Source organism: Homo sapiens, chromosome 16, assembly GCF_000001405.40.
Source record: "Homo sapiens chromosome 16, GRCh38.p14 Primary Assembly".
Taxonomy (NCBI): Eukaryota; Metazoa; Chordata; class Mammalia; order Primates; family Hominidae; genus Homo; species Homo sapiens.
Window position 1 is genome coordinate 14,136,881 of NC_000016.10, and position 12,209 is coordinate 14,149,089.

Below are 12,209 nucleotides of genomic sequence, written 5' to 3' on the forward strand. Positions count from 1 at the left end.
GCTGGATAAATGTTGGCTTTGTTTCATTTTGAACTGCAGTTACGTTATTGGGATTTGTAAGATAGTAACTTTCTTCATTCATGCTGTCAGTTCTAGACAAATTAATATTTTATCACAATTTGTCCAGTGAAAGCTAAGTGATTGTTTTACTTTTGTAACTAAATTATGGCCCAATGAGATAATCTGTTCTAGTGCCATTTCTTTAATATGTCAATTATTGACGACTATACAGAGAGTAGTCAATTCTATGTGTGATATTGGATCTTATTTTCAAAAGAAAATCATCAAGTAGTTAAGTAGACCTTAAGGTGACAGCTTGCAAAATGTCAGAGTAGATTAGTCTATACCCTCTCAAAAATGTTCATGAATATTAAGTTAAAATTTTTTGAAAACTTAATCTTTGCCTTTGCTACATTTTATAAAGATTTCCTTAGCTTATAATTTTCATAATTGGGAGAGATGTGTGGGAGTTTAAGGTGAGCATAAAGTCAAGCCATAATAGGTTGAAAAAATTCTTCAGTATGAAGAACAGATTATACTGCATGAAAATATTTTTTTAAATCTATACCTAAAGGATCTTCCAAATCATTAGCACTGATGTTCAGAGCTTGTACATCTTTCAATTATAAGGGCATTATGGTACTTGTATCTTAGAATTAATTTGATGTGAACAGATTTTATTTTGTATGAATAAATAATTTGAAATGAAAATTCAGAGTTTTGAAAAAGTCTAGGAGTTGTATTTTAATATTCCTTAGTGAAATAAGTAATTTGACATGCAGATTCACCTAACATCTTTTTTGAAGTCTACTTTATTTGATATTAATATAGTCATCACAGGCTTCTTGGAATTCCTGTTTGCATGACCCGTCTTTTTTCTATCCATTTTCCACCCTATTTGTGTCTTCATATTTAAAGTATGTCACTTATATGCATACATTTATAGACTTTTAAAAATTTATTCTGTCTCTTTTAATTAGAGCGTTGAGACCATTTACATTTAATGTAATTATTGATAAGGTTGGATTTAGGTCTATTTTGCTATTTGTTTTCTGCTTGTCCCATCTCTTTTTAGTTACTCATCTTTTCCTTCTTTTGGATTAATTGGGTATTTTTAAGAATGTGATGTTTTAGCTGAAACTATTTGTATTTTTTAAATAGTTGTTTTAAGTAGTTGCATAAGATCTTCTCAGTCTACTTAAAGTTAAAATTACACTGTTTTCTTATGATGTATGGGAAAGTAAAGACACTGAAGATATTTACCCCTCTTTCATCTTTTATGCTATAGTTGTCATGTATATTACATCTACATGTAGTGTAAACCTCACAACAGGGTGTTACAATTTTACTTTGAATGATGATAATGTAGAATATATATAGAAATAATATAGAAATTCAGAAGAAAAGCTAGTCTTTAGTTTTTTTATCTACATGTTTACTATTCCTGATGCTTTTCATTTCTGAAATCTAAGTTTTTATCTGGTATCACTTCTCTTTATTCTAAGTAAGTTTTTAAAGAATTTCTTGTAGTGTGGATCTGCTGGTGACAATTTTGCCTTCATTATTAAAGGATATTTCCATTGGATATGTAATTCAGATTGACAGTTGTAGAGACTCTAGATTCTGTTAGGTTTCTTCTTAAGAGTGGTGTTTTGTTAAGAGCAGGCAGTTAAGTTTGCTGAACTCTTGCAAGCTGTCTTTTCTTTGGTGGGCCGCACCAGAGATCTCAGTTCAGTTCTTTTTGCCTTAGCTGGGCTGCATGGAGTCTGCCCTGCATGTGTATAGTTGAGGGATCAGCCAGAGACTTGGAGCACAGTGCATACACCTGCCCCCCACCCCACTTTGCGGCTCGCTCATTTTTGGGAACTAAATAGAAAGTCAAGTAATAGATCTATTTATGCATACTCAGTTGAATTTCAGCAAAGATGCAAAGGCAGCTTAATAAAGACAATCTTGTCAACAAATGATGGTAGAACAATCAAATACACATATGCCAAAAAAACCTGAAAAAAAGTTGATTCGTATTTCACCACATAAATAAAAATTAACTCAAAATGGATCATAGACTTAAATGTAAAACGTGAAACTAGATCTAGAAGAAAACAGGAAGTAATCTTTATTACCTTGAGCTAATCAAAGATTTATTAGCTACAGCAACAAAAACATGATCCATAAAAGAAAAAAAATTGATCATTAGTGGATTTCATCAAATTAAAAATACTCTCCATAAAACACTATTAAGAACATACAAAATAGCCTGGGATAAAATACTTGTAAATCATATATCTGATAAAGCACTTGTATCCAAAATATATTTTTAAAACTCTGAAAACTCAATAATAAGAAAATAAACCACCTAATTTAAAAAAAGAAATATTCGCTCAGATACTTACCTAAAGAAGATATAGGGATGGGATGGCAAATTAAAAGATGCACAGCATCATTAGTCACTCAGGAAATGCAAATTAAAACCACAGTGAGATACTGCTTGCCCATTAAAGTGACTGAAATGGAAAAGACTGACCATATGAAGTACCGAGGATGTGGAACAACTGGAATTCTCATACCCTGCTGGTAAGAATGTAAAGTGGTACAACCACTTTAGAAAACAGTTTGTCAGTTTCTTAAAAATTTAAACATAGAGCTGCCATGTGATCCAGCCATTTCACTCCTGTACAAGTATCTATATGGATACATGCTTTTACTTCTCTTGGGTAAATACAATCTTGGTATTTACCATTTGGATATTTGGTATTTACCCAAGAGAAGGGAAAGCACATGTCCATATAGATACCTGTACGGGAGCATTTGTAGCATCCTTATTTGTAATAGTCAAAAACTGGAAACAACCCAGATGTCCATCAGTAGGTGAAAGGATGAACACACTGTGCTATGAAATGCTACTAAATAAGCAGACAACAAAGAATTTTATCGAATGTTTTGCCACTGCCATAACATGGACTGACCATCCTTCTAGCCTCCAGTAACAGTTTTCTGCTGCCGACTTTGTAGTCCTTAAGCCAGTGTCACATGTTTAGAATTTTTGTTGTATCTTTGGTACTTCTGTTGCTGATTTCCATATCAGTCAGAATGAGCCAGGTTTTACTGTGATAACAACCCCAAATTTCAGTGACTTAAAAGTTTGTTTCTTTGTCATGAACTGTATGTCCATTGTGGGTTAGCTGAAAGTTCTGTTTTCTGTTATTCTCACCCTGAGACTCAGGCTGATAGAAGTCATTGTCTGAAACCTTCCTGGTTGCTGTGAATGTTGACTAATTTAAACTTGCTTGATATATAGGAGTTAAGATGAATTTTCAAGCCAGACTACTTCTTTATTTTCATCAGCATTTGTTGACTGTCTTTTCATTTTAGCATGCATTAAATCTTTAGTGCCACCAATGGCTATGACTTTCTTTAATCTGTGGTATTAAAAAATATACAAAATATATTTCAGCTTTATTTACCTTATAATTGCTTGTTTTTAGGTGGGAAGTATGTTATTCCTGTTAGATAAAGAACCTGAGGTCCAGAGAGGGTAAATGGATTAGTATGACCATACAGCAGTAAAACTGGACTAGAACCCAGGATTCCCGTTTTAATACTTTTGTGCAAATTGGAGAAACATAACTGCACCATCTCTTTACACATTCTTTATTTTGGCAGTGTCTTCAATAGGCCGTGTTTAAGAGGCGTCTTACACTCCCTGTTGCCAGTGGCTGGAACACAATGGATCACACAGGGGCGATAGACACCGAGGATGAAGTGGGACCTTTAGCCCATCTTGCTCCAAGTCCTCAGAGTGAAGCTGTGGCTCATGAATTCCAGGAACTCTCCTTGCAGTCCAGTCAAAACTTACCCCCTCTGAACGAAAGGAAAAATGGTGAGTTCAGCATGTGCAATGGGATCTTTGATTTAAAGATTTCCCCTCTTTGGGAGCCCAGTTTATTCCTGTTTGGTAGTAATATTTTGGTCAGTTCAGCAGTCTGTCATGGAGGAGAACCCTGTAGAGGTACTGGATGGTTTTTAATAACAGGCAGAATTTCACTTTCCATTCAGTTCTTTCATTATTTTCCCAGTAAGTATCTTTGGTAGTGACGTTACCTTTGGAAATAATCTTTAGATTCAGCCATTTTAGCACAAGCAGATGATTTCATGCTGGAATGGCATTGGAAAGTAGGTTCCTGTGCTGATGCCGGGGAAGTACATTGTGGATATGACTGCATTCTCCTCCCACTTTCTCCATCTCCGGTGTGTTGCACCGTAATTTCACAAGTGGCAAAGCTATCTCAGTGATGACTAAGAAGTCAGGAGCTTCTTATTTGAGTATTTATTATATTAATGGGTATTGGATATAGTCATATTCTCAGTCTTTGGCTGCCTCATCTTTGTCTACAAAATGAATATTTTCTATTCATTATCTGTTCAGGAAATTTTCATCGCTCACAGAGATATTCCAGAGTCTCCAGAAGACACAATACTGTCAATTTTTAACATAAACAAATAGAGATAGATGACATATACTTTTAATACTTAAGATACAAAATCTAACAAAGTAATGTTAAAATTTGCAAACACTCTAAGCATGCACATTAAAAAATAGAATTAAGGTTTTTTTCTGGAATTACTATACCTTCCACAGTTCTGATGAGTCCCACACTCACAAGTATATTTGTAAATTTCAGTTTTTTAAAAGCCAGAAGAAATAAAACTGCTTTCCCTGCAGAGTGCCTCATTATGTACCTTGTCACTTACTTTCCTGGGTCCTGAGTGTTTTCCAGTCCTCCTACTTATTAGACTTACCTTATTTAGGAAAGTGGATTAAAAAAACCATACATATACCGTTCTTCTTAGGCCTTTAGTACATGTCTTTGGTATGTACTTGTTCTCCTTCAAATAAAATGTGTTTTGCTTTGTATCTGAATCTTGTTGCTAGGCACAGCCCTTGACCATTTTGATAGGTGTTTTTTTTTTTTTTTGAGACAGAGTCTCACTCTGTCGCCCAGGCTTGAGTGCAGTGGCGTGATCTCTGGTCACTGCAATCTCCGTCTCTTAGGTTCAAGTGATTCTCCTGCCTCAGCCTCCTGAGTAGCTGGGATTACAGGCACGCACCACTATGCCCAGCTAATTTTTTGTATTTTTAGTAGAGATGGGGTTTTCACCATGTTGGTCAGGCTGGTCTCGAATTTCTGACCTTGTGATCCACCCGCCTCGACCTCCCAAAGTGCTGGGATTACAGGCCTGAGTCACAGCACCCGGCCAATTTTGATAGGTTTAAAGCAGCATCTTAGCTTAGGTGCTGTGAAACCTTCAGGATGCTGTGGTTAACTCACTGGTGATGACTTTTAAACCTTCCATCTTTTCTTTCTTTTTTTTTTTTTTTTTTTGAGACGGAGTCTCACTCTGTCGCCCAGGCTGGAGTGCAGTGGCGCGATCTCAGCTCACTGCAGGCTCTGCCTCCTGGGCTCACGCCATTCTCCTGCCTCAGCCTCCCAAGTAGCTGGGACTACAGGCGTCCACCACCACGCCCAGCTAATTTTTTCTAGTTTTAGTAGAGAGACGGGGTTTCACAGTGTTAGCCAGAATGGTTTTGATCTCCTGACCTCGTGATCCACCTACGTCGGCCTCCCAAAGTGCTCGGATTGCAGGCGTGAGCCACCACGCCCAGGTTAAACCTTCCATCTTTTAAGAACCCACATTTACCTTAGACAGTAGCTGAGAGAATATAGCCATATTTACTGAAACATGACTAAGTGTGATCAGATTTACACAGTACACTTGGACCAGTATAATGTCCAAATTATTACCCTAAAAGAAAATAAGAGTTGAACTGTTATAAAATCAGAACACACAGTTGTGCACAATAATGGTCTTCTGTAATGGGGAGGGAAGAGTGAGGAGACTTTATCCTTTATGGTCATTTACAGGAAAAGTTAATATGTATGCCAGAATATAAGGTGGCAAGCCCAAATATAAAGCAGTCTCCCCTTATAAACTTCTAAGGAAATAGATTAAATGGTAAAATTTTAAATTTATTAATGTAGTTACATTTTATGAAGCATTGCAATAATGTAGAAGGATTGCTTTAACCACTCTCATTGTTCATAAAACCATCCTACTCAAAGTCTATATGTGAATCTTTGTGGTCAGTGTTTTTATCAGTAGTAGAACCCCTGTGCATCATCCATCTAGCACTAATTTCCAGGGTACATCTTCATTTCTGTCTCTTTGGTTTGAGTTACAGCAGCTTTGTAACATGTGCATGATTTGGCACTGAACATTTCTTTTTTTTTTTTTTTTTTCATTAGGCAAACATTTATTAAGCACTTAATATGTACAAGGGACAAGGGAGACGCATTTTTTAATGTTGTCTTTCTTTAGTAACAGTCAAAATACCACACAGAAAATAACTTAAAACTTAACCACAGTGTTATTATTGACCAATTGGGTTTAATACGTTTTCTTCAAAAGATGTTTGATATTTTGTAGGAGACAAAATAATTATTTAGCTTATGAGAAGATAGGGCATAATTTTGGAAATCCAGGCCTCTGAAGGATGGAGGTGCATGTTTTAGACACAAATAATCTTCCCGGTATCTTTGAATAAATCCCATATTTGGTAGTACTGATTCTTTTTTTTTTTTTTTTTATACTTTAAGTTTTAGGGTACATGTACACAACGTGCAGGTTAGTTACATATGTATACATGCGCCATGTTGGTGTGCTGCACCCAGTAACTCGTCATTTAACATTAGATATATCTCCAAATGCTATCCCTCCCCCCGGCACTGAAAATTTCATGTCTAAATCACAAGTACCATTCACAAAACAGTTTTTTTTTTTAAATTGTCTTAGTTGTATACTCATAATCTCTATAACATAATACTTGTTTGATTTGTCATTGGTTGTTACATTTTATGGGGTCTAGTTTCTGTTTTAGAATTTGGCTTTTTTTAAGCAGATAATGTATTCATGTGGTTTAAAATGTTATGATTACCTAGTGAAAAGGAGGTTACCCTCCCAATCTTGTCCCTTACCTGCACAGTTACTTTCCCAGAATTAACTGTTACTAGTGTTCTTTCTGAGAGAATAATATTTGACTACGTTTTAAAAAGCAGTTTTTAAAAGGCTACTTTGTAACGACACCCAACACTTTGCATTTTAAGGTTCTAACTGGGAATAATGTATTGGTTTTTTTCTCTTTTCCTTCTTTTTTCTAATTCTGATTAAAATATTTCTGTAAGCCTGAAAGTAGCTTCAAAAGAAGTTGGTTTTTAAGCCAATGTGTTTTCTTCAAGAGTCCTTTTTTGTTCAATACGGAGTAAATGAAAGAACATCTCATTCTGAGAAACTGTGCAAAGACTCCACTATGAGATTGTTCCCTCTTTTCTAATAAATGACTTCAGGAAGTTATTATAGAAGCCTTATTTTATATTCAGACATATAATTTCAGGCTTATGATATATTAACCTAATTTGCATATACATTCCAAGGCATAAAAGGCATCCTTATTTGGCTGTCAGAAATCTAGGTTTTTGGGGAAATGCTGCTCAAAGGATACAAATTTCAGTTAGATAGGAGGAATAAGTTTAAGAGATCTATTGCAAAACATGGTAGCCAAGGTTAATAACAATGTATTGTATTGAAAATTGCTAAGATAGTAGATTTTAAGTGTTGTCACCACGAAAAAAATAGTAAACATTTGAAATAATGATGTGTTAATTCAATTGAGCAATTCCACAGTGCATACATATTTCAAAAAAAAGTACATGATAAATATATATAATTTTTGCCGGGCGCAGTGGCTCAAGCCTGTAATCCCAGCACTTTGGGAGGCCGAGGCAGGCAGATCACAAGGTCAGGAGATCGAGACCATCCTGGCTAACACGGTGAAACCCCGTCTCTACTAAAAATACAAAAAATTAGCCGGGCGTGGTGGCGGGTGCCTGTAGTCTCAGCTACTCCGGAGGCTGAGGCAGGAAAATGGCATGAACCCGGGAGGCGGAGTTTGCAGTGAGTCAAGATTGCACCACTGCACTCCATCCTGGGTGACAGAGCAAGACTCTGTCTCAAAAAAAAAAAAAATAAATAAATATATACATACATATATATATATATGTATATATATATATATAACTTTTGTCAGTTTCAAAATAAAAGCAAATATATTAATTTTTTTTAAATCTAAGTTTTTGACAGTTATGTGAGCAGAGTATGTTCACATCAAGTAATATATAGATGAAAGGACCGTAACATTCTTACTTTAATGATTTTTTTCAGACATGTTGTTCATTTTTTAGGTCTTCTTAATGCAGTGTTTAAGTCATACAAAATGCAGGTGTTGGCATCAAAATTAATCAATACAAAGTATTGTTTAGATATTATGAAATAAATGAATTCAGATTTTTTTGGTGATTGTGTTATTATTCCTAGACATTTGAATTTCACTTATTAGAATTATTTTCTGTTGAGGGAAAAATGGAGATATTTCAGTTTGGGATTAGTGTCTAAAAGGGTAATATATAATAGTTTATAAATACACTTTACAAGGAAAATGAAGTTGACGTTTAATGATTCCAGGATCTTCCCTTGTTTTACATTCATATTCATGTTACTGATGATAGTGGAGCGGCAGGATATTCCCACTATTGGAGCACATAGGAGAGATACTTAGTAAAGAGAAGCTGGGATTTTCCTTTACTCTTGAATGTGACCAAAATAGTACCTCAAAGTAAAGCAGCCATATTTAGGCAATTAACTTTTCCTAACAAGTGAGGCCTTAATGAAGGAAAATGGATATACAGAAACACATGCATAATCTACCTTTACTAAAACAATGCATATACAGGGGATTGAGCTTCATTTTAACATTTTAAATACACGTTAGATCCATCTTTCTCACGATTTGCATTCCTTCACATGAGCAGACTGGGAATAAAAAGGAAACCAGTCAAAGGAATAGGACGTTAGTGTTTAAATTGGAAAAGCTCAGCAAGGAAAGACAAAGTGGGTAGAAACAACATCACTGAAAGAGCTGCAGCCCTTTGCCTGTGCCTACACTCTGAGGGGACCCTGCGGGAGAAGCTGTTCCTTCCTGAGGTCGTGTGCAAGACCGGTAAGCTGACAGGCAGAGCAACCCTCAGGGATGCTGGCTGGTGAATTTAAGGTTTTAAGTCATTGCCAGTATTATTACAGAGTAAGCAGAGAAGTTAATACAGATTTTCATTTTTAAAAACTGTTTGGTATTTTAATACTTTATGGTATGTCTTGAGTCCAGGTACTTTTAAGGTGAGGAGCAGTCATGTTGACATGGTCACAGAAATAGCACAGGCCAGCTGATTTAGACTTTTGTAAAATCAGTATCATCTACCTCCCTCTTCCTGAACTAAAAGGCTTTTTCAAACTCTGTTCACTATGAAGTAGTCAGTGTGTTTTAGGCCTCAATAAAGAGGAATGACATTTGCCGTTCTTATTTTAAACTTCGGTATTACAACGTTACTGCAGTTGTTAGGGTTTTGAGCTTATAGTCCTATCTTGAAATCTTCTAAGATTTTCCATCCATTAAATTTATCATACAGAATAACTTTAGATAATCTCTTTTTCAGTTCTTGAAATGATCACTTACTAGAGAGAAAATAATTTATTCAGAAGTTTGCTGCACACAAGAGAACCCAAGATGGCTCTTTGCTTTGGTTTCAATACATGTATTAATATATTTGCAAACAGTCAGGTGAACTTTGCCTAGCCATGGAACCCAGCCAAAGAAAGCTGCTTGCCTCACACTATAGAAAATGAATGGCATATATTTAGAGCTGGCCTTTTTTGGGGGTTTCACTTTGAAAGCATTTCCCTGCTTCTCATTAACCTGCTAGGCTTACTGTCAGTCCAAGTATCTGGAAATATACAATGGCAATGAACATTTGTCTTGGGCAAAACTGGGTTCTTGAGGCCATAGGTGAGCTGGTATAATGAATGAATGGAGATTGGTGAGGGAGAAAGAGGAAATTTCTACTTTTCTCTGGAGCAGATAGCCAGACAGAAAGCTGTCATAGTGTCATAAACGAGCAGGAAACAAATAGATGCTCAATAGCCAAGACAGAGCTGTGGAATTCTTGCTTTCCCTTTCTATAACTGGAAGTATTAGAAATGAATAAATTTCTCTAAAATCTTGTCGTTGGCTTTGCTGTTAACATATTTAGGATCTGGAGTGTTTCATGTAATTCTCAAGGACATCAATAAACATTCTGATAGTAGCTTGTTTTCCTGCTTTCAGGAGTTAGAGTACTTACACTGAGAAAAGAAGTATATACTCTGTGAATATAATTTTCCTTGGTTGTTTTAAATTAATATTTTTAAAAATTGGGCTTTGGGATTTATAGTAAACACAATTATAGTTTTAAAAGCAAGCTGTAAGCCTCCCGACAACTGCAAATGAAAATGTGGCAGCTCTCATACTTTTTGTTTGTGAAAATCTCTTGAACCCTTCAAAATGAAAAAGAAGCCTTGTAAGTACCTTAAGGGTGAGGTATTCTCTTTCATAATAACCTTTATGATGTCTCCTATTAGTATGTTTTGATTCACAGTGTAAATAAGCACCTGTAACCCTGTCTGCCTTCTATTTTTCTACTCTGAGTGTCTTATTTAGACAGTTTTTGTTGTTACTGAGGATTTTGTTTGCTTCAGTGCATTGCAGAGCACACCCATGCAGTGTGTTTGGAGCGAGGGAGGGGGCTGTGTGTGACTTTACCTTCTCCCGTTTGTAGCTGGCAGTGAGTTTGATCTCCTGCGGGAGTAGCAGCATCAGAATGCTAACATGGGCTTGCTTTAGTTATCAATGAGGGGGTGGATGAAGCTTTGTGCATCAGCAAGACCATGGACCCCATTACAGCACCTCTGAAGCTCATTTTGAGTAATTTATTTAGTCTTTAAATTGTGTCCTCTTGTTGAAATACCTTTGAGGCATCATAATTAACACATTTATTAACAGTAAGATTTAAAACGTAATAGTAATGAGCAGTTTAAACCGATGATGAGACCACATCATCTTAAACTTGTTTACTTGTTTTATGTTTACTTAACATTTTAGACAACTTTTCTATAGTTACTGAAGTCACAGAAGTACATTATTTTCTATATAGATTGAGATAACTTTCATAAAAGTAGAGCCCACCATGTCATTTATATTACACATTGGACCAGTGAATAAACTAAAACAAATTTATTAAGAAATAGTCTTTGCTTTTCCTCAGAAAGCAATTATGAAAGATAATATACATAATATAAATGATCAGTTAAATAAGTATGACTCAGCTATAACCTCCTAGCTACTTAGACCTCACAAGACTTTGTGGAATTAAGTAGTTAGTTCCTCTGCTGGGCTGAGAGACTTAGGAAAATTAAAGTGGGGCTCCGTTTACTTATGTCTGCCACGTAACTCAGTCACAAGGACCTCTTGTAGCTAAAAAAGAGAAAAGATAGTTTTGGACACCTGTTCTCTACCATACCTATAAAAGAGCCTAATGAATACAGGGAATGTACTGGAAAAAAGTGATCCATGACAATTTTTCTTTGTTACTTAGCTTGTATTTTAAGACAGCAATAATAAAGTACTCTTGTGACAGAAAACAGTAAGACTGATATGTTAAAGTAACGTGTTGGAATTTTCTCTTTGGCTTGTAATTAATAATTACCTAGACTAATTAGCAAATATCATGTTTTTCTGACTCCTTTACATTAATCCGTACGTTGGCTCTCCTGCCCTCACCGACTGCCCTCACTATTATTGACAGGAAGTGTAGTCTTTTGGGAGTCAGGACTTCAGTCTCCTCTGCTGACTCAGTCTGTGAGCATGGGTAAGTCTAAGGTGCTCTCTGTGTCACAGCTTGCCCATTATGACATCCGTACAGCAGCCTCCAGCCCATGTGTCTCCCTGGCGGCCCTTCCTCATTACATCATGTGTTCTTATATCTCATTGTCGTGTTTGCCGTGTGCTATTCATTGGGCAGCAGGAACAGAAAGAATGGAAGATAACTTCCATCTCAGCTAACCAATGGACTTTTCCTTAGATACAAATTAGTCGTGTTGCTGTTTAATACAGACCTCACATCTGTATTAGTAAACATACTTGCCAGCTCTCTCAATTAGTCAGACTTTCCTGCCATATTTAAAGAAGAGAGTAATTGACTTGTTTGTTATTCTCAAAAATAATGTGT

At 35.9% G+C, this 12,209-nt stretch overlaps 1 protein-coding gene across 29 annotated transcripts in view; it reads left to right on the forward strand.

The window, feature by feature from the left end:
* Positions 1 to 12,209, forward strand: part of MRTFB (myocardin related transcription factor B) — a 272,006-nt gene that overhangs the window by 142,107 nt on the left and 117,690 nt on the right. For 24 of the 29 annotated variants that reach the window (XM_047434393.1, XM_047434392.1, XM_017023501.3 and 21 more), the window contains one exon: positions 3,664 to 3,880. In XM_047434393.1, coding sequence (XP_047290349.1) covers positions 3,727 to 3,880 — 154 coding nt within the window. In that variant the 5' untranslated portion in view covers positions 3,664 to 3,726. Of the gene's footprint in view, positions 1 to 3,663; positions 3,881 to 11,786; positions 11,850 to 12,209 lie in introns of all 29 variants that reach the window. The other 5 variants (NM_001365420.3, NM_001365421.3, NM_001365419.3 and 2 more) reach the window with 1 other exon arrangement.